Source organism: Homo sapiens, chromosome 8 (genome assembly GCF_000001405.40).
Source record: "Homo sapiens chromosome 8, GRCh38.p14 Primary Assembly".
Taxonomy (NCBI): domain Eukaryota; kingdom Metazoa; phylum Chordata; class Mammalia; order Primates; family Hominidae; genus Homo; species Homo sapiens.
In genome coordinates, this window is record NC_000008.11 from 72,072,155 (window position 1) to 72,090,646 (window position 18,492).

Genomic DNA, 18,492 nt, shown 5'->3' on the forward strand with positions numbered 1-18,492 from the left:
TCCCCAAATGATTCAGATACTTGCTTCAATTCTACCATTGACCATAACTAGTCTCATATGCCACATGATAATATATGTCCAAACTCCAGTTTGTCATTTTGAAGAAAACTAGAGCATTTCTCACTACTGAAAAGAAAAGCTATCAGTGAAAATGAAGTATTAAGGTATTTAATGTATCCTTAATATAACTAAGAAAGGATTTAGAATATTAGGATTTATTCAGCAAATGTCAGGTTGGAATAATAAAACTTAATTTCTTAAACTTTTGAACTTTAGTTTTTGCTTTTGTTATTACAGAATAGTACCTAACAAGTCACTCTTCTATGGTAGTCTCTTGAGATGTGTTACTTTTTAACTAAAAAAAATTAAATTCCATATAAGCTACATATAACTTTAGTGACTACAGGATATGACAATGAGCATCCAACCACTTCCAAATTTACACATATTCAGTAATAAATTTAAAATGGGCTTCTTGCAGAAATAGGATCTTTTTCCATGTCTCATCCTATCAAAGAAAGTGTTGGCCTAAATCTATTTGGAAGCATTTTGGTACTTGAATTTGATATGCTCTTTGCGTAATAAAGGGATTATGCTGCCCACTCCCTAGTGCCGGAAAGAGCAGTTTGGGATGTCTGTTCAGCGATGTGCTGTCAACACAAACCCAGTTCCACACTCTTTAGAGGGAGTACTAGGTTCAGATGCTCACAAGGCACTATTGAATTCACAATAACAAAACAGCATCTAAATACTTTACATGAGCATATCAGACGTACTAGATCATCTCAATCAGTACCTGACGTTGTCAGGCTTTGAAAAGATTTTTTAAAGTTCTGAAAGTAAGCCAAGGATGTCATTTAGACAAAATATATATTCATTTAATGTAGTTTCATGTTGTCACAGGGTCACTTCAGATTCTTTTGGAATCTGAACTATGTGATTAGATTCAGAACATAATAGACTAGATCACTTTTAGATAAGCTAATTCTAACTAAACCCTTTAAAACAGATATATCAAATACATCTGTTTTAGGTTGCTTTAATGAAATACATATAAGTAGCAATGTGGCCAAAAGGTTGGAAACTAAGGTGAGAGATAAAAAATAGAAAGTCAAATGCTAAACTATTCACTATCTTGAAAGAAAATAATTGGAAAAGGCTAAAAGCATCAGTCCAATGGTTCTTTTTCCACATTTCTCATCTTGTAAGTTTTCTGTGATCCTTCAGTTTTGTTAGTGTTCCTGAGATACTGTGTATGTGCTGGAGAAAATATGTTATACAGCTTTTCTTTTAAATTAGGAAACAACCAAAAACCCTCTAGAGGTTAAAAAACCCTTCATAGTGTTATATATGTTTCTTTGTCATGGGTTCAACAAGAGATTTTTACAAAATGATATGGAACTACTACAGTTAATGAAATAAAAGATATAATCCTTCAATCTACAAACTCTATGTAGCTTCTAAAAGGCTTAAAAAACATAAGTTGCTCTACGTAGATGATAAATCTAAATAAAGACTATTAGAAACACGAAGACAAATAATTTTGAGACTCGCTGCTAAGAAATCCTTCGGCAAATATCGCTAGAAAATAAAACCACATGGGTGATTTTAGAAATTTAAAATTTCTTCCTGTACCATATTAATTGTAAAGATACTATTCCAGTGGTTGAAATCTATTTATGACTCAGTTCTCTGGAGTAAGCCAAAAGACCACAGTTATCATGCTAACATTAAGAAGGACAAAAAATGTCTGTGGCCAAACCGGACATGTCAACAGACTCACCTTGGGAGGCCTGGCTACTTGGTGTGTGTGATTAACTATACATGCCTGACTCACACACACAATTGGCAATAGTGCCAATTCCTGCAACCTGCTTAGAGAGCAATTTGTCAATTTCTACCAAAATTAAAGCTGTACATACCTCTTGACCCTGCTAGGACTTTGACATACAGACATATCCATAAAGGTACCAAGGGACAGACAGACAGAGAAGCTACATCTAAACTCACAGACATACTCTGTCACATGTGTAACAGCAAAACAAAACAAACACAAAACAGCTTAAGTGTCCATCAGTGCAACACTGGTTAAATAAATCATGATCTAGTCATACAGTGGAATATTATGAAGCTGGTAAAAAGAGTGAGGTAAATCTACAAGTGCCAATTTGAAATGTATTCAAAAATACATTTTGTGAGTAAATCAGAGTGGAAATCTGTGAGTTCTTAACTTTGCAAATAAAACAAGATCTATTAGCATGTGTGTTTTTGTGTAAGCATTTTTTTTAACCTGGAAAATTCTTAAGAAACTGTTAACATGGTCCCTCTGTCGAAAGAGATTTGTGATGAGGGTTTGGAGAGACCTTTTTAATGATGTCTCAACATTTTAAAAGAGCCCCTTTCTCCTGCTGACAATCTGATGAAATCCAGTGGTGGGCTCTGAGCACCCAACAGCCTCTATCCCTTAGACTAAGCCATCAGGTAGTAGCTAGTGCTGCCTTTAGGTCCGATAACTGCATAAGTAATAGAAGTGCCCATCCTAGAGCCTCAGGTCACTCACCCATCTTCAAAAGGTCACCTCCCCCACAGCGTTTCCTGAAGCTCCTACCCCTGGAGAAGGAATTTGCCACTCCTGCCTCCGTTTTATTGGGGACATTTTCTGCAACGCTCTAAGTGCAGACAATTGGTTTATCTGTTTCACTCTGTTAGACCAGAAGGCTTCTCAACCCCCAGAACTCTTAAATAGTTATCCAACGACTACCAGATACAGTCATTCGGCTATTTGGTTCTAAACAAAATCTACGGAAAGGTCCAAGTGAAACGGCACACATTCCAAATTGTCCTGATTTTAGGCAGCTGCCCGATCTTGTGCCAGATGATACAGATACTTTTTGAGTAGGTTTCCCTGGACTGCAGTTGCCCGTCCAGGAGCAAGAATTCGGTTGGACAAACAAGCAAACAAAATAGATAAAGCAGGCGCTGTGTGGGCGCGTCATTAGTAGGGTCACCTCTTGGATTGTGCACACACCCCAAAGCTTGCAACCCCCACGCTTTCTCCAAACCAAGGGCTGCCCCCAAGGAAACCTCCAGCCGACCCCCGCCCGCACGTCGGAACCCCTCCAGACCCGCGAGCCCCCAGAGTACCTTAAGCGATTCCTTGAAATCCTCCGTGTCGTCCGGCACATCCTCATAGACAACGCCCTGGGGCTCCTTCTTTTCTCCAGGGCGCCACATCTTCCTCAGGCTGCGCTTCATTGACCCCACCCCGGACGCCACCTGGTGCAGCTGCTCACCACGCGCGCGGGCACCTGGGGCGAGAGAGCGCTGTCAGCCTGCCAGGCGCTGGGGTCCGCGCGAGCCCGAGCTCTCCCGCGCTGCAGCTCACAGGCAGCGAAAAAGTCGCTCTGCGGAAGCCCTGGAGAACTTCTGGAAGGAGTTCTCAGGCCCGCGCTACTTTTGTAGTGCAGGAAGCAGGCGGGGCGCGGAGAGGAGGTAGAAACGCGGAGCTCCTTCGCAAAGAGGGCGGCGGCGCCGCGTCTGCCTTGGACTCGCCCCTTCAGGGACAAAGTGACTCGCCCGTCCCGCTGTCCTGCAGCTGCAGCAGCGCACTGACGGAGTCAAGCGTGTCAGGTCGGGGTGGATTGCAGAGAATTTGTTATAATAAACTAAGAGGCCCCTTGCCCTGCCCCCCAACCTTGCATGTGAGTGTGTGTGTGTGTGTGTGTGTGTGTGTGTGTGTGTGTGTGTGTGTGTTGGGTGGAGGGTGGGGGGTGTAAAGAGAGAGGAAGAGGGAATGACTGGGTATATTGGAAAGATTTTTAGTTTTCAGGAGTTTTTTCTAACTAAAATCCTACAGACCTGTGTTTCCCACCACGTGCACCTTCTTCTGGCGGCCTCTTTGATTTGGAAATAACGTTTTTAACAAAACTTCTCATTCCAAACGTTTGGGACAATAGCTACATCCTAGCACTGGTTTGAGGGACTAGATTAAGTCCCTGTGAATATCAGGTCTCATTTCCTGTGGATAATAACAGTGATCCCCCTCACACTTTGGTGTTTAAGGGTGGTTAATAAAAAGGTGAGGTTAAACGTAAGCCACTGCTGACTGGTGCAAGTTTGTTTGCCCCCAGCTTCATTTGAGAGACTTATATTTATAGGACTGCTCTTCATTAAGTGTCAATCGAAGTGTCTCAATCGAAGAGGCTGGTTCTACTTTTACGTACAGACAAGGGAACTGTCTGGTACAGACAAGGGAACTGTTGCCGTAAGTTCAGGTTTACAAGGCTAGAACGCAAGAAACCTTTCTAAGGCTGATTATACCTTGCACAGGACAGAATGTAGCTTTGACAGTCTTTTGCTTTGACAGACGGTGCTTCCTGAAGGCCCTGGATTGTCGTATTCACCTGCTCATCTCCAGCACTTAACTCAAGACCCCCGTGGATCCAGGAACTGGCATAGGTGCACTCAGCAACGGTTTGTGGACTCTCTGACCTAGGGGCTGTGGTGGGCTGAGCTTAGGGCTAGGCAGAGTGGACATGATGATATTGAGGAACCATGAAAGGTCCCCCTAAATCTTCCAATGGATATGGCAGGTTGCCATCAATTCCACCCCTGGAGTGGAATTCCTTGGAAGGATAATATTGAACTTAACCACATCATGAGTCCATGAGTATGGCTTGCTGGAGGATACAGGTGTTCAACTTCACCTTTGCACTCTTTTCTCATCAGCATCTGTGTTCAGGGTATGCAAGATAAGAATCAGTTGCACAACTTGCTATGATTTAGTTGAAGGAGGTAATGCATTTGGAGAAACCAATAAAGAAAAGAATCCCAGGGTTGGGTAAAAAGAATAACTCTCATTGAGCCATTGCTGCCTACCTGATATTTTCCATATACCAGTTTAATGTTTTAAAATGGAAATGCCTCATAGGAATATTAAGACTTTTTATTTTTTATCATTGATTATTTTGATCGATTGCTTTTCTCACAACACTTAGCTGGAAAGGGTCACTAAGGCAAAAACTGAATAAAGAGGATGTTCGAAGTGATCATTTTGGAAGCTGGGGCAGTGGGCATGTCATGGCAGCAAGCATCAGATGGCCCTGTTGGCCCCGAGAGACAGGGGGTGACAGGGGTGGGGGGGGGGGCAGCGTGGGCCAGTGCAGGGAACTCCAGCAATGGATGGTTGAGGGGAATTCTGGGAGAAGGGTGGCTCCAGGCCAACAGCACCCCTCCTTTGTAATATCCCCTGGAGTCTGCATTCTTGCTTCTCTACCCCACTGACATTCTCCAAAGCATGTATTCTTTTTAATTTGTCTTCTCTGTCTTTAACACTGAAAAATACAGTTGGTTAATATTATAGATATGATTTTTTTCCTGCTTTCTGCTTATAAAAGCAAATAGATTAAAAGATAGTTTAATTTTTAAAAAATATTATGGGGGTCTTGTTCCTTTTAGGCATTTTTCAGGCAGTGTCTTCCTAAGACCTCTCAGGAATTCCCATGACTGTTTCTTCTTAATCATTAAATTATTTCCTACCCATCAAAAATATCTTTTTCATAGGCAGGCAGGGCAACTTCCTCTAATTGCAAGATTAATTGCAAATCTTGGTCTTAAAATGCAAAATGTAAACAGGAACAAGATGGTATCTAGCTATTTACAATCAAGATCTTATTTCATTTGAAGTTTATTGATGAATAGCAGTAATGTGCAAGCTTTTTATATCAGTTATACTCTTAAAATGATACTTATTAGAGAAAAGAAACCTTCCTAGAAATTTTCTGAAGGTAATTTTTATTATCAAATTACAATTTGACATTACACAGGACCTTATTCAAGAAAATGAAAAGTAATAATAATAAATAATTTTATTTAAATTATCAAGGAAAATATAGTTATATGCACATATTGCTCAATAACATTTTATGAAAAAAATCTAAATTACCAAAATTCTCCTTAATTATTTTGTTCCTTAAATTTAAAAATGTTTTGTTTATAAATTAATTATAAAAATATTTATTTTTAAAGTCACTAATCCAGATATGTTATTAATGAAAAGGGGCCCAATATACATGCTAAGGAAAATAGCATCTTTTATGAAACAAAACATAAAATGCACCCATGGAAAGTGCACAGTTTGATGACTTGTAGTAAATTTATACAAGTATACAACTATCTCCACAATCCAGTTTTAGAATATCTCCATCAATCCAAAAAGTTTCCTTAGACCCAGATGCAGTAAATCCCTCCCCAACCCAGACCCCTAAGCAACCTTCAATCTGTCTTTGGAGCACACTTTCTATCTCTATAGTTTAGCCTTCTCTAGAAATTTCAGATACATGGAGTCATACACTATGTAATATTTAGTATCTGGCTTCTTTTGCTTAGTATAATACACTTGAGATTAACCCACATTGTACTATATATCAGTAGTTTCTTCCTTTTTATTGATCAATAGTATTCCATTGTATGGGTATACCATGTTTTCTTTACCTATTTATCAGTTGGTAGACATTTGAATTATTTCCAGTTTGGGTCTATTATAAATAATGCTGCTCTGAACATTTTCATACAAATCTGTGGACATACATTTTTATTTCTCTTGTTTAGAGAGATACCTAGTAGTGGATTTGCTGAGTAATGTGATAAGTATGTGTTTAGCTTTGTATGAAAATGCCTAATTACCTTCCAAAGTGGATGTACCATTTTATATGGCCTCCAGCAGTGTATGAGGATTCTACTTACTCCATAGCCTCACAAAACTTAGTATTGTCAATCTTTTTTTATTATGATCATTCTAATGGTATATACCATTGAGTCTCTAATTAGTATTTCCCTAATGGCTAATGATATTGTCCATATTAGCATGTCTTATTATTCACTCATATATTTTCTTGATGAAATATTTATTAAATTCTTTTGCCTCTTTTTAAATTGCGTTGTCTTCTTACTATTAAATTGTAAGAGTTCTTTATTCTAAATATAACTCTTTAAACAGATAAATAATTTGCAAAGTTTTTTCAGAAGCTGTTATTTCTCTTTATTTTCTTAATAGTGCCTTTTGAAAAGCAAAACTTTTAATTTTGATAAAAGTCTAATTTGTTAATTTCCTATATTGTGTTTTGGGTGCCATAGAAACTTTTGCCAATTCAAAATTAAAAAGCTTCTCTTCAGTATTTTCTTCTAGAAGTGTCAGCTCTTAACTAGATCAATTTTGAGTTAATTTTTTGTTCGGGTTGTGGGGTAGAGGTCTAAGTTCATTTTTATTGCATATGGATATACAACTGTTACTAGTTGTTAAAAAAACTATACATCCCTCATAGAACTGCCTTCAAACCATTGTCAAAAATCAATTGACTACAAATGTAAGAGTTTGTTTCTAGACCCCTATCTTCTTCCATTGATTAATATCTCTATATTTAAGCCAATACCACATGGTCTTGACTTATATATTCAGGTTATTAATCTCTTGTCAGATGGGTAGTATGATGGTTAATATTAGGTGTCAACTTGACTAGATGGAAGGATGCCTTGATGGCTGATGAAGCATTGTTTCTGGGTATGCCTGTTGCATTTAGTCTATAGATTGATTTGGTGGGAAGGGCCATGTTTAAAATATTGAGTCTTCTGATCCATAAACATGGTATATTTTCAGTTTATATATATCTGTCTTGATTCTCTCAGCAGTGCTTTGTAGTTTTCTATGTACAGTTCATGCATATTTTTGGTTAAATGTATTCCTAAGGATTTTATTAATTTTAAGCTATTTTAAATGAAATGATTTTCTTAATTTTACCATCAGATGATTTGCTGTTTACAGAAATACAATTGAATTTTCCAAGTGATCTTGTTTTCTACAGTATTACTAACTTTGCTTATTAATTCTAGTAGATTTTTAAGAGACTTTTTAGAATCTTAAACATATAAGACAATGCTAATAAAGACAGTTTGCTTCTTCCTTTTGCAATTGTATGCCTTTAATTTTTTTTCCCACCTCAGTCACTGATTAGAAGCTCTAGGACATTGTTGAATAGAAGAGGAGAGAGTGGATATCCTTACCTTTTTCCCAATCTTAGGGGGAAAGCAATATCTTTCAACATTAAATATGACATTAAAGTAGGATTTTCATAGATGTCTATTATCAGGTTGAGGAAAATATTTTATAATTTGTTTTTATCAAGAGTGGGTGTTTAATTTTGTCTGATACTGTCTCTACAACTATTAAGATGATCACATGTTTTTTTCTCACTTACATTATTTTATATTAATAGATATTCTAATATTAAACCAACCTTTTCATATGTTACTGGATTCAGGTTGCTAATATTTTGTCAAAGATTTCTGTGTTTAGGCTCAAGAAGAATATTGATCTGTAGTTGCCTCTTTTTGTGATATCTTTGTATAGCTTTGCTATCAGTATAGTAGTGGCCTCCCTGAATAAGTTTAAAACTGTTGTCTTCTATTTTCTGAAGTAGTTTGTATAATATTGGTATTATTTTTTTTAAAGGTTTAATAGAATTCACCAGTGCAGGCCTTTGGGAAGATATTTAATTACTAATTCAATTTTTATCTTTTGTAGAGCTATTTTGATTTAATATTTTTGCTTGAGTAAATTTTGGTAATTTGTTGAGAAGTTTGTCCATTTAATCTAAGTTGTCTATGTGTTTGTTGGCACAAAGTTGTTCATAGAATTCCTTTACAATCAATTTAGTCAATCAGTTTCTTGTAGGGTGTGTAATAATGCCCCTTCTTTCATTCCTGTTTTTTGTCATTCATGTAATCTCTTTCCTAGCTAATAGTTTATCAGTTTTGTTGATTGTTTTTCAAGAACCAACTTTTGATTTTATTGATTTTCTCTATTGTTTCTCTACTTTTGTTTCATTTTTTTCTTTCTTTAATTTTTCTTTCTAATTATTTGGGTTCAATTTGCTCTTCTTCCTTTACCTTTTTGAGGTAGAACATTCAGTTGTTGATTTTGGATCTTTCTTCTAATATAATTGTTTAAAGATACAAAATACTTACTCAACTTTACAGTAGCTGCATTTCATAAATTTTGATTTGGCGTGTTTTCAGTTCTGGTTTCTTCTTTGGCTCACAAATTACTTTTGGAACTCTGTTGCTTAATTTTCAAGTATGTGGGATTTTCCCAAATTTATTTCTGTTGTTGATATTCAATTCACCCTGTTTATGGTCAAAGAACATACTTTGTATTGTTTCAATCCACGTAAATTCAAATGTAGAATTGTTGAAACATTTTATGCCTAGCGTATGGTCTATCTAGTAGACTGTTCTACATACACTTGAAAATAATGTATTTTCTGCTATCATTTGGTAAAGTTTCTCAGTATGTTATTGGGTATACTTCGGTGATAGTGTTGCTCAAGTTTTCTATATTCTTAGTGATTTTCTATTTATTATGTTATCAGTTACTGAGAATATTAAAATATCAAATTATAATTGTTAAATTGTCTATTTCTTCTCACAATTCTGTCAGGATTTATACTCCATTGAGCGAGTGTCTTTGTTCTTAGATGCATACTTATAATTATTGTCTTCCCACTATATTTTCCTTTTTATCATTATGAAATTTCCTTTATGGTCTTTAGTAATATTTCTTATTTTAAAGTCTATTTTATCTGATATTGTCATGCCAGATCACTTATGCTTACCATTCAGATGGCAGATCTTTTTCCATCCTGTTAATTTTAATCTATTTGTTTTTAAACTGTTTCTTATAAATAGCATATAGTTGAATCTTTCTCTTTTATACAGGTTGACAGTCTCTCCCTTTTAATTACAATATTTACTCATTATATCATTGACATTTAATATGATTATTGATATGGAACTGCCATTTTAATATTTGTTTGTTTGTATCACATATTTTTCTTTCACTCTGTTTTTTCTCTACTGCCTTCTTTTGTATCCAACAATTGTCTTAACATGCCATTTTAATTCATCGGTAGATTGTTTGGATGTTTTCAGGTTATTTTCATAGTATAGTGATTACAATGTTCATCTTTAACTTATTACAGTCTACTTTAGATTAATACTTGTTTAATTCAGTAAACTATGGCAATGTTCCTCCAATGTATCACAATTTCCTCTCCCATTTTATGTTGTTATTGTCATATGTAATACATTTATACATCTATGCATGGTATATACTCTAAAATAGTGTGTTATAATTCTTCTTTTTAAACAATTTCACATTTTTAAAAGAAATTAAAAGAAGAAAATAGGATACACAAACACACACACGGACTTTTATATTTGCCTACTTATTTACCATAGCTAGTGGTCTTCATTTATTCTAATAGATTTGAGTTACTGTCTGCTACTATTTTCTTTCAATATGAAGGATTTCTTTTAGAACATCTAATAAGGCAAGTCTGCTTGGAAAATAAAATAAGGAATACTTTTTGCTGGATATAGAAGTTTTGTTTGATACACATTTCTTTCATCACTTTGAGTATTATTACATTGCCTTCTGGCCTCCATTGTTTTCAATGAGAAGTCAACAAATTATCTTTTTTTTTTTCAATTAGATAAGTAGTTTTTCTCTTCCTAATTTCAAGATTTTTCTCTGTCTTTCAGCAACTTGACTCTAAGGTATCCATGTATTGACATCTTTGTGTTTAACTTCCTTAGTGTTCATGGACCTTCTTGAATTTGTAGATTAATACTTTTTTTTTCAAATTTGAACAGTTTTCAGTCATAATTTCTTCAAATAATTTTTCTTCTCCTTTCTCTTGCTCTTTTCTTTTTGGGACTTCCATTATGTATATGCTGGTAAACTTAATGTTGTCCATGTTTCTGTTCAATATTTTTAGTCTTTTTTATCTCTGCTTTAGATTAATTTTTATTTATCTGTCTTCAAGTTTACTATTTCTTCATTGTTTCCAAATCTGCTATTGAACCTACTAGTAAATTTTTCATTTATATTATTGTCTTTTCAACTCTAGAATGCCCATTTGGTTCTTTTTGTTTTTAGTTTATATTTATTAAAATTCCATTGTTGTTTTGTCATTCTCAACATATTTTCCTTTCATTCTTTGAAAATGTTTTCTTTATCATTCAACATCTTTATATTAGCTGATTTGAAATACTTAACTGCTAAATCTAACATCTATACTCAAATAGAATTAGTTTCTGTTTGTTCCTTTTTTCCTCTTTCTGAGTATGGGCTACACTGACTTGTTTCTTTGCTTGTCTTATAACATTTTGGCTTATAACTGGACGTTTTAGATGAATATCACAGCAACTCCAGGTTTTGATTAATTTTTAAAAATATTTTCTGGCCGGGCACAGTGGCTCACGCCTGTAATCCCAGCACTTTGGGAGGCCGAGGCGGGTGGATCACGAGGTCAAGGGATCGAGACCATCCTGGCTAACATAGTGAAACCCCTTCTCTACTAAAAATACAAAAAAAAAAAAAAATTAGCCGGGCATGGTGGCAGGCGTCTGTAGTCCCAGCTACTCGGGAGGCTGAGGCAGGAGAATGGCATGAACCCTGGAGGCGGAGCTTGCAGTGAGCCGAGATAACACCACTGCACTCCAGCAGGGGTGACAGAGCGAGACCATCTCAAAAAACAAAAACAAAAAACGAACAAACAAAAAAAAATTTTTCTGTAACTTTCTCGGGCTTAAACTGTAGAATCTGTTTCCCATGTGGTTTGTAGCTACTCCTGTTTCTGTTCAGATATTTTTAATTTAAATTTTAGTTTTTATCCTGAATTCTTAGGGTCATTATCTACATGAATGTGTATTTATTAAGTAAAATAATCACTTTTTTATTGTTGTTCAGTGAGTCGAAAGCTGGGTACTAGTTAAAAAAGCTGAACATATAATCATAGTCACAGAGATGAAAGTTGACAAATTTGTATAGATGAACGTATCTGCTTCTCATTCTTACAGTCATTTTAAATTTTATTTCAATCTGGAATTTCATTAGGCTACAGAACTGTTTAGGTTATAATCTATTTTAGTTTTGGAAGCACTCACCTATGATACCATTAAAATATGATGTATTTTAGGGCTCAGCATTTGACTGTATTTTTGATTTTTGTATTGTTATTGTCTATTTAGATTTTCTGTCTTTTTGAGTCAAATTTATCAATTTTTAGTTTCCTTGAAAATAATCCATTTCATAAACATTTTTAAAAATGTATTGGGATTCATAGTATCCTCATAAATTTCTAAATCTTCCCTATATCTGTTCCCACTGTCTTGCTTCTGATGTTTATTTGTAATTTGTAAGATTTTTTTTATTTCTTAGAGATTTGATTTTTTAAGGAAACAACTTTTGGTTTTAGCAGTCCTATTTTCTATTTTTTTGTTTCTTATGAAATGTTTTCTGCTTTTATCCTTCCTATTTAGCTTCTTTTTCATGTGAAATTATTTGAGAATTGATTTTGAAGTTTTTCTAAAAATTATCTTACTTTATTTATTTTGTCTGTTTTAAATTATTTTATACGTGCTCTTAAAATGATAATTTTTTTTTTTTTTTTTTTTTTGAGACAGGGTCTAGCTCTGTTTCCCAGGCTGGAGTACAGTGGCATGATCTTGACTCACTGCAACCTCTGCCTCCCTGGTTCAAGCAATTCTCCTGCCTCAGCCTTCTGAGTAACTGGGATTACAGGTGCCTGCCACCACACCCAGCTGATTTTTGTATTTTTAGGAGAGACGAGGTTTCATTCTGTCGGCCAGGCTGGTCTCGAACTCCCAACCTCGTGATCTGCCCGCCTCAGCCTCCCAAAGTGCTGGGATTACAAACCTGACCTCAGCACCCGGCCAGTGATAAAATTTTATTTGAGAATCACTTTTGTTGTCTCATCAGTGTTGAAAAAGCATGCTTTTAAAAGTTATTTCTTACTAACTCTAACATTTGAATTCTAATTTCCTTTTCAATGCAAATATTGAAAATGATGTTTTAAATTTTCAATGGCTAGGGACTTTTCAAAACAAACTTTTTCATGTTAGTTTGTGATTTTATTGATAGTGCTCAGTTATCTTATATTGCCTACACTTTTTAAAAATTTGTTGAGATTCTATCGTCCAATATATGGCTGAAGTTCCATTTAAGGTAGTATTTTTAATATAGCATTTTATATAAATTCATTAGCTAAATCTTATCAATTGTTCTTCAAGTCTTCTACCTCATTATTTTTCATTTACTTGATATGCAAACATGTATAGTAAGGGATTCCACCACAGTTGTGGAATTGACAGTTTAGTCATGTATATAATCAGTTATTTATTTATATACTTATAAACTATGTTTTTAATACAGAAATGTTCATAACAATGGTGGTAAATTTATACCTTGAATTATAATCTAATCAATATGAAATATATATTTATCTTCTTTAATTTTTTTATACTTGAATTTCATTTTTACTAGATATTAACACTGCCTTACCATCTTTCTCTTTGTTACTATTTTTCTAACATATTTTTCTATTTTTTAGTTTCAACGTTTATCTGTACTTTTTTTCCCTTTAGATGTGTTGCATGCAAGCAGCTTAGAGTTGGTTTTATTTTGTTTTTAACCCAATCTTCTTTTTAATTGGGAAGTTTAGTTTATTTATATTGATTGTGATCATGGATACGTTTGCATTTGTTCTTTTCATATGACTTAAAAATTTTCCTGTTTTCTTTTTTATTGTTTTATTTCCTCTTCCTGGTTAGGTTCACCTTGTGCATTTTGTTTTAACCTTTACTGATTTGGGGAATGCGTATTCTACTTTTTATTTATTTATTTTTTTGAGACAGTCTTGCTCTGTCGCCCAGGCTGGAGTGCAATGGTGTGATCTTGGCTCACCGCAACCTCTGCCTCCCGGGTTCAAGCAATTCTCCTGCCTCAGCTTCCCGAGTAGCTGGGATTACAAGCATCTGCCACCATGCTCGGCTAATTTTTTTGTATTTTTAGTAGAGATGGGGTTTCAACCTGTTAGCCAGGATGGTCTCGATCTCCTGATCTCGTGATCCACCCGCCTCAGCCTCCCAAAGTGCTAGGATTACAGGCGTGAGCCACCATGCCAGGCCCTTGCACATTCTACTTTTTCTTATGATTTTCCTTAATTTTAACAATCACACTTAAGCTTAAGATTTTTATCAAACTCAAGAGTTAATTATTATATCTTTCTCATTTAGAATATAATAAGCTTAGGTCTTCCTTTATCACTTCTCCCATCCATAGTTATACATTCTGTAATTTTTATCATTCTTTGTCTCGTATTCAAATTAGGTTTTCCGCATTCTGTACACACATAATTCTTCCAGAGGTGGTATGTTGGTACTAAAATTTCTTTTAGCTTTTACTGTACTGAAATTGTCCTTATTTTGGCTTCCTATTGAATAATTGTTTAAATAAATACAAAATTCTTTCACAGTTGTTTTCTCCAGAAATTGGAAGATTTTGACGTTACTTCTTAATATCAATTTTGCAGATACAGTGTCATATCAATCTGTTTCTAATTCATTTCTTTATAAGTTATTTTATTTTCTCTCTAAACTCTTTTAGAATTTTTATATTCCTTCTTGGTATTCTGAAATATCACCACTATGCAACTCAATAAAGATTTTCTATTGTTTACCTTGTTCTGTACTCTAAAACAATTATTGGGAAATATCATTTCAATCCAGTAATTATCTTTCTTTGGCTTTGGGAAATTTTATTCCATTATATTGGTATTATTATTTATTTCTGCATATCTCAGTCATCTTTTCATGGCAAGTGGTAGAAAAACACAACTAAAATGACTTAACAAAAAGATAAACTAATTGATCCCAGTACTAAAATGGCCTATGTTGGTACTTATTTAAGTACCAGAGTCTCACTCTCATTAAAGCTGATTTTCTCTTTCTTTTAATTTTTTTTATAGGAAGAAATTTTACTACTTCTTTGAAGGCTCACCTCTTTATCTATGGCAGCCTCAGGCTGAAATCTTCCAAGTTTATGTCCAGTGGTATGGTGACTGAATTTTCTACCAGCTCTGTAAAACTCCATGGTGTATTACTGGCTGTAATTGGGTTATGATTTCAATTTCTTAGCTAGTCACCATAGCCAGAAAAACAATAATCTGATTATGCAGACCTGAGATTCATGCCCTCTGTTGAAATCAGGCATGGAGCCAGCTTTACCCAAATTGAATTTGAGTAAACTCAGAATGGATTGAGAATGAGACAAGAATAGTTTCCATTGCCCTAAGAGAAACTGAAGTATGCCGTTGGCAAAAGAAGGAGGAATTGATGTTCAGTGTCTATTTCTAGCTGAACATATAGATGCTCCTGTACTTTCCATTTTCTCTGTCTGATTTTTCTGAGTGCATATTAAAATTTCTTAACCCATTTTCCTTGTATCTTAAGCTTATCATTCACATTTTTTCTTTGTCCTTTTATATTGTATTATAGGAATATTCTTTGAGTTGATCTTTCAGCCCACTGTTTTGTTTTTCAGTTATATGGATCTATCAAATATATATATATATATATTTTAATTGCATGAAGAAAGTTTTATTTCAAAGTCTCCAATTGAGTCTTTGTCAATGTAACATATTCTCACATTTTAAATTTTATTTTATTCTAATGCCCTGCTTTGCTTGTCCTATTAACCTCATTTTCTCATTATAATAATGTTAGTTCCTTCTAATGTTCAATAATCTCTCTGCTCATTTTTGTATTTTAGATCTCTGTCCACTTACCTCCTCTAGTCACTAAGATCAGTCTCTGATGACAGAGGCTGGCTGTGCCGCTAGGAGGGCAGCTCTATGTGCTTCAGCTCCCATTCTGGGAACAGGAGCTCCTTGTCCTTCCTGGAGCATTGCTCTGCCTCAGGGCCCACTTGCCCACACTCTGCCTTAGCCTATGGGCAGACACTTTTGCTGCCTGTTGCTTAGTACAGATCAGAGAGGGGAGTGGTGCTTGCTAGCCTAGCTCTCACCTTCGTTTCTCAATTAATAACTTGTCTGATGAATGCTTGAAGCTGTCTTTGTATCTTGTGGCAATTGACTTTGTGTTCAGATCTCCTCCTTCACTCTTCCCATCACAGCATTCTTTTGCCTATGTTTAGTTCATGTTTTGCTTCAGTTTAACAACTTTGTATATTCAATCCTATCTACTGTCTATCTTTCCAGAATCCTTTAACATTTCTAGTCTGTTGGTGGCATTCTTTTTTTCACCCTGTTTTGGATTTACTTTTTCTTTGAAAACTTTTTTTTTTTTTTTTTTTTTGCTGTTTTATAGGATTTCAGATGGGAAGGAGGGTAGATATGCATGTTTAGACAACAATCTCAATCCAATTGCTTTCTTTTAGTTTCTGTGTAATTAAAAAATTCTATTCTGTTTCTTCCAAATCATATGGAAAGGAGAAAATAACTTTATAGCCTGTCTTGAAATATTTGAATGACAGAAAAGTATTGGGTCAGGGAGGAAGGAAGGAGCTAATGTTCATTGAGAGTCTACTACTCATCAAGCTGTGTCTTTAGTTTGGTGACAACTGAGTTCCAGATGGAAAATTTTGTTTAATATGGATAAGTAATGAGATAAATTACACACCCACACCCACACACCACTTTGACATCTATGAAATGCTGTTTTCTACTGGTAATCAGAGAAACTTAATGTACTTTGTTATAGAGAAACCTAAGCATATCTTGCTCTTTCTACTCCCCAGAAGACAAGCTGATATACACAGGTTATCCAAAGCAGCACCATTCCCAGGGCTCTTGGCAACCATGATCTAGAGTGACTATTAATGCAATTAATAAAAAGCCAAATCTGATAAGATTATTTAAAATGTGAGATATTAAAAAAGCTAATTAAGTTGGCCTCCAGACAAAGGAAATCTTGCTAAGAGTCATTTGTTTTACAGCAAATCGTATTTCAAATTTTAGAATAAAATAAGATGTATACATGTATCTTATTTGTATTAAATTCTTGTGACTATGCACATATTTTATTACTTAACTTAATCAGATGATGAACTTAATCTTTCTGTTGTGAATTTTTAATTCTAACTATTTAACCTGAAGCAGTTGCCAAAATTTAAAATGTTTCCGTGATATCTGCCAGTGAATGAGAGATATAGTAGATTTCTCTAAATACAAGTAATACTTTATAGGATTTGGAAGTACAATTTAAGGTACTTATTAATTATAAAAATCTTCTATGGTGCAACTTTCCTTGCTATGCACTTAATTTATACCCAGATCATTTCACACCACAACCCACACGAGTAAGACCACAAAAAAAAGTTCTTATCTCATGAAGAATCTTTGCTATTTAATAATTTTATTATATGTGGAAGCTTTAGAATACTGAGCTACTTTATTATATAAAAATATTTTATTGTATTTATCTTAAGCAGCTAACACAATATCTTTAGTTCAAAGTTTGTCTTCAGTCTATAAAGACATTCTTGTTTGACTGTTTCAAAAATATACTAATTTATCCCAGTCTAGAGGAAACCTTTTTAGGATCCTAAGACACAAGCTTCTCAGTGAATTCTAGACAACCACAGCTCAAAAAATTCAAACAAAATTAGATGTATAAAAGTTTTTACCTCATCTAGTTCATGGTGGTAACTATGTCAGATTGAAACAAAATAACATTAAGTATAAAATGAGAACTTTGTTTTTACAGTTAAAATCCAAACTGGCATTCAGATGTATATGTTAGTATAATAATTATACTTATTTTATATATCAGAAACCTGTACTCATCTTGTGAAATACATGCCTTATCCTTTAAAAATTGGAAAGTTACAAGATATTGAAGAAAAGGTATGCTTACCTTTCTTCATGGAAATTGACATCCTGTTTCTGATGTTACACAGGCATAAATAATCAAGCGGAGAAGTGTTCCTTTCCTCACACAGGCAATAGGTTGCACCCACTTTAATAGTCCCATATAATTATATAAGGGGTGGTTCATTCTAAGAGTCAATATTATGCCTTTTTATTAGACTACATGGTGGGTGATCACTATGTATTCATAATTTGAACTTTGAAATTTTATTACTGTCTACTTGAAACCAATCACTTAATTTAATTATTGCTTATAAGTTTGTTTCACCTACCATGGTTCCTTTGTAATGCAAAACCACAAACCAAAGTCCAGTAGTTTCCCCTTATCCATGGGAGATACTTTCTAAGACCCCCCAGTGGATGCCTGAAACTCAGATAGTACTGAACCCTATATATACTATCTTTTCCTTATAAATATGTACATATGATAAAATTTAATTTGTCAATTAGACACAGCAAGAAATTAACAACAAAAATAAAAAAAGGAACAATTATCAACACATAGTATAAGAAAATTTATGTGAATGTGCTCTTTCTTAAAATATCTTATTCATTGTACTCACCTATGCTTGGGCTGCAGTTGACCACAGTAATTGAAACTGCAGAAAGTGAAATCTCAGAAAAAGGATGACTACTATAGTTAACAGTAGTAGTCATAAGAGAATTACATAGCCTTTGTGGAAAA

At 34.5% G+C, this 18,492-nt stretch overlaps 1 protein-coding gene across 3 annotated transcripts in view, besides 1 other annotated feature; it reads right to left on the reverse strand.

Moving 5' to 3' along the window:
* TRPA1 (transient receptor potential cation channel subfamily A member 1) overlaps positions 1-17,856 on the reverse strand; it is a 68,761-nt gene extending 50,905 nt beyond the window's left edge. The window contains exons 1-3 of one of the 3 annotated variants that reach the window (XM_011517625.3): positions 17,794-17,856; positions 9,022-9,180; positions 3,145-3,308 (exon numbers count right to left, since the gene is read on the reverse strand). In XM_011517625.3, the coding sequence (XP_011515927.1) occupies positions 3,145-3,255 (111 nt within the window). In that variant the 5' untranslated portion in view covers positions 3,256-3,308; positions 9,022-9,180; positions 17,794-17,856. Of the gene's footprint in view, positions 1-3,144; positions 3,431-9,021; positions 9,181-17,793 lie in introns of those variants that run through there. The other 2 variants (XM_011517624.3, NM_007332.3) reach the window with 2 other exon arrangements.
* Positions 3,235-3,806: an enhancer, noted in NCBI's record as "H3K4me1 hESC enhancer chr8:72987624-72988195 (GRCh37/hg19 assembly coordinates)". NCBI's record gives its function as "activates a minimal SCP1, AML or CMV promoter by ChIP-STARR-seq in primed H9 embryonic stem cells {active_cell/tissue: H9 hESC(primed)}" and the evidence as "EXISTENCE:reporter gene assay evidence [ECO:0000049][PMID:30033119]".
* Positions 17,857-18,492: the final 636 nt, after the last annotated feature.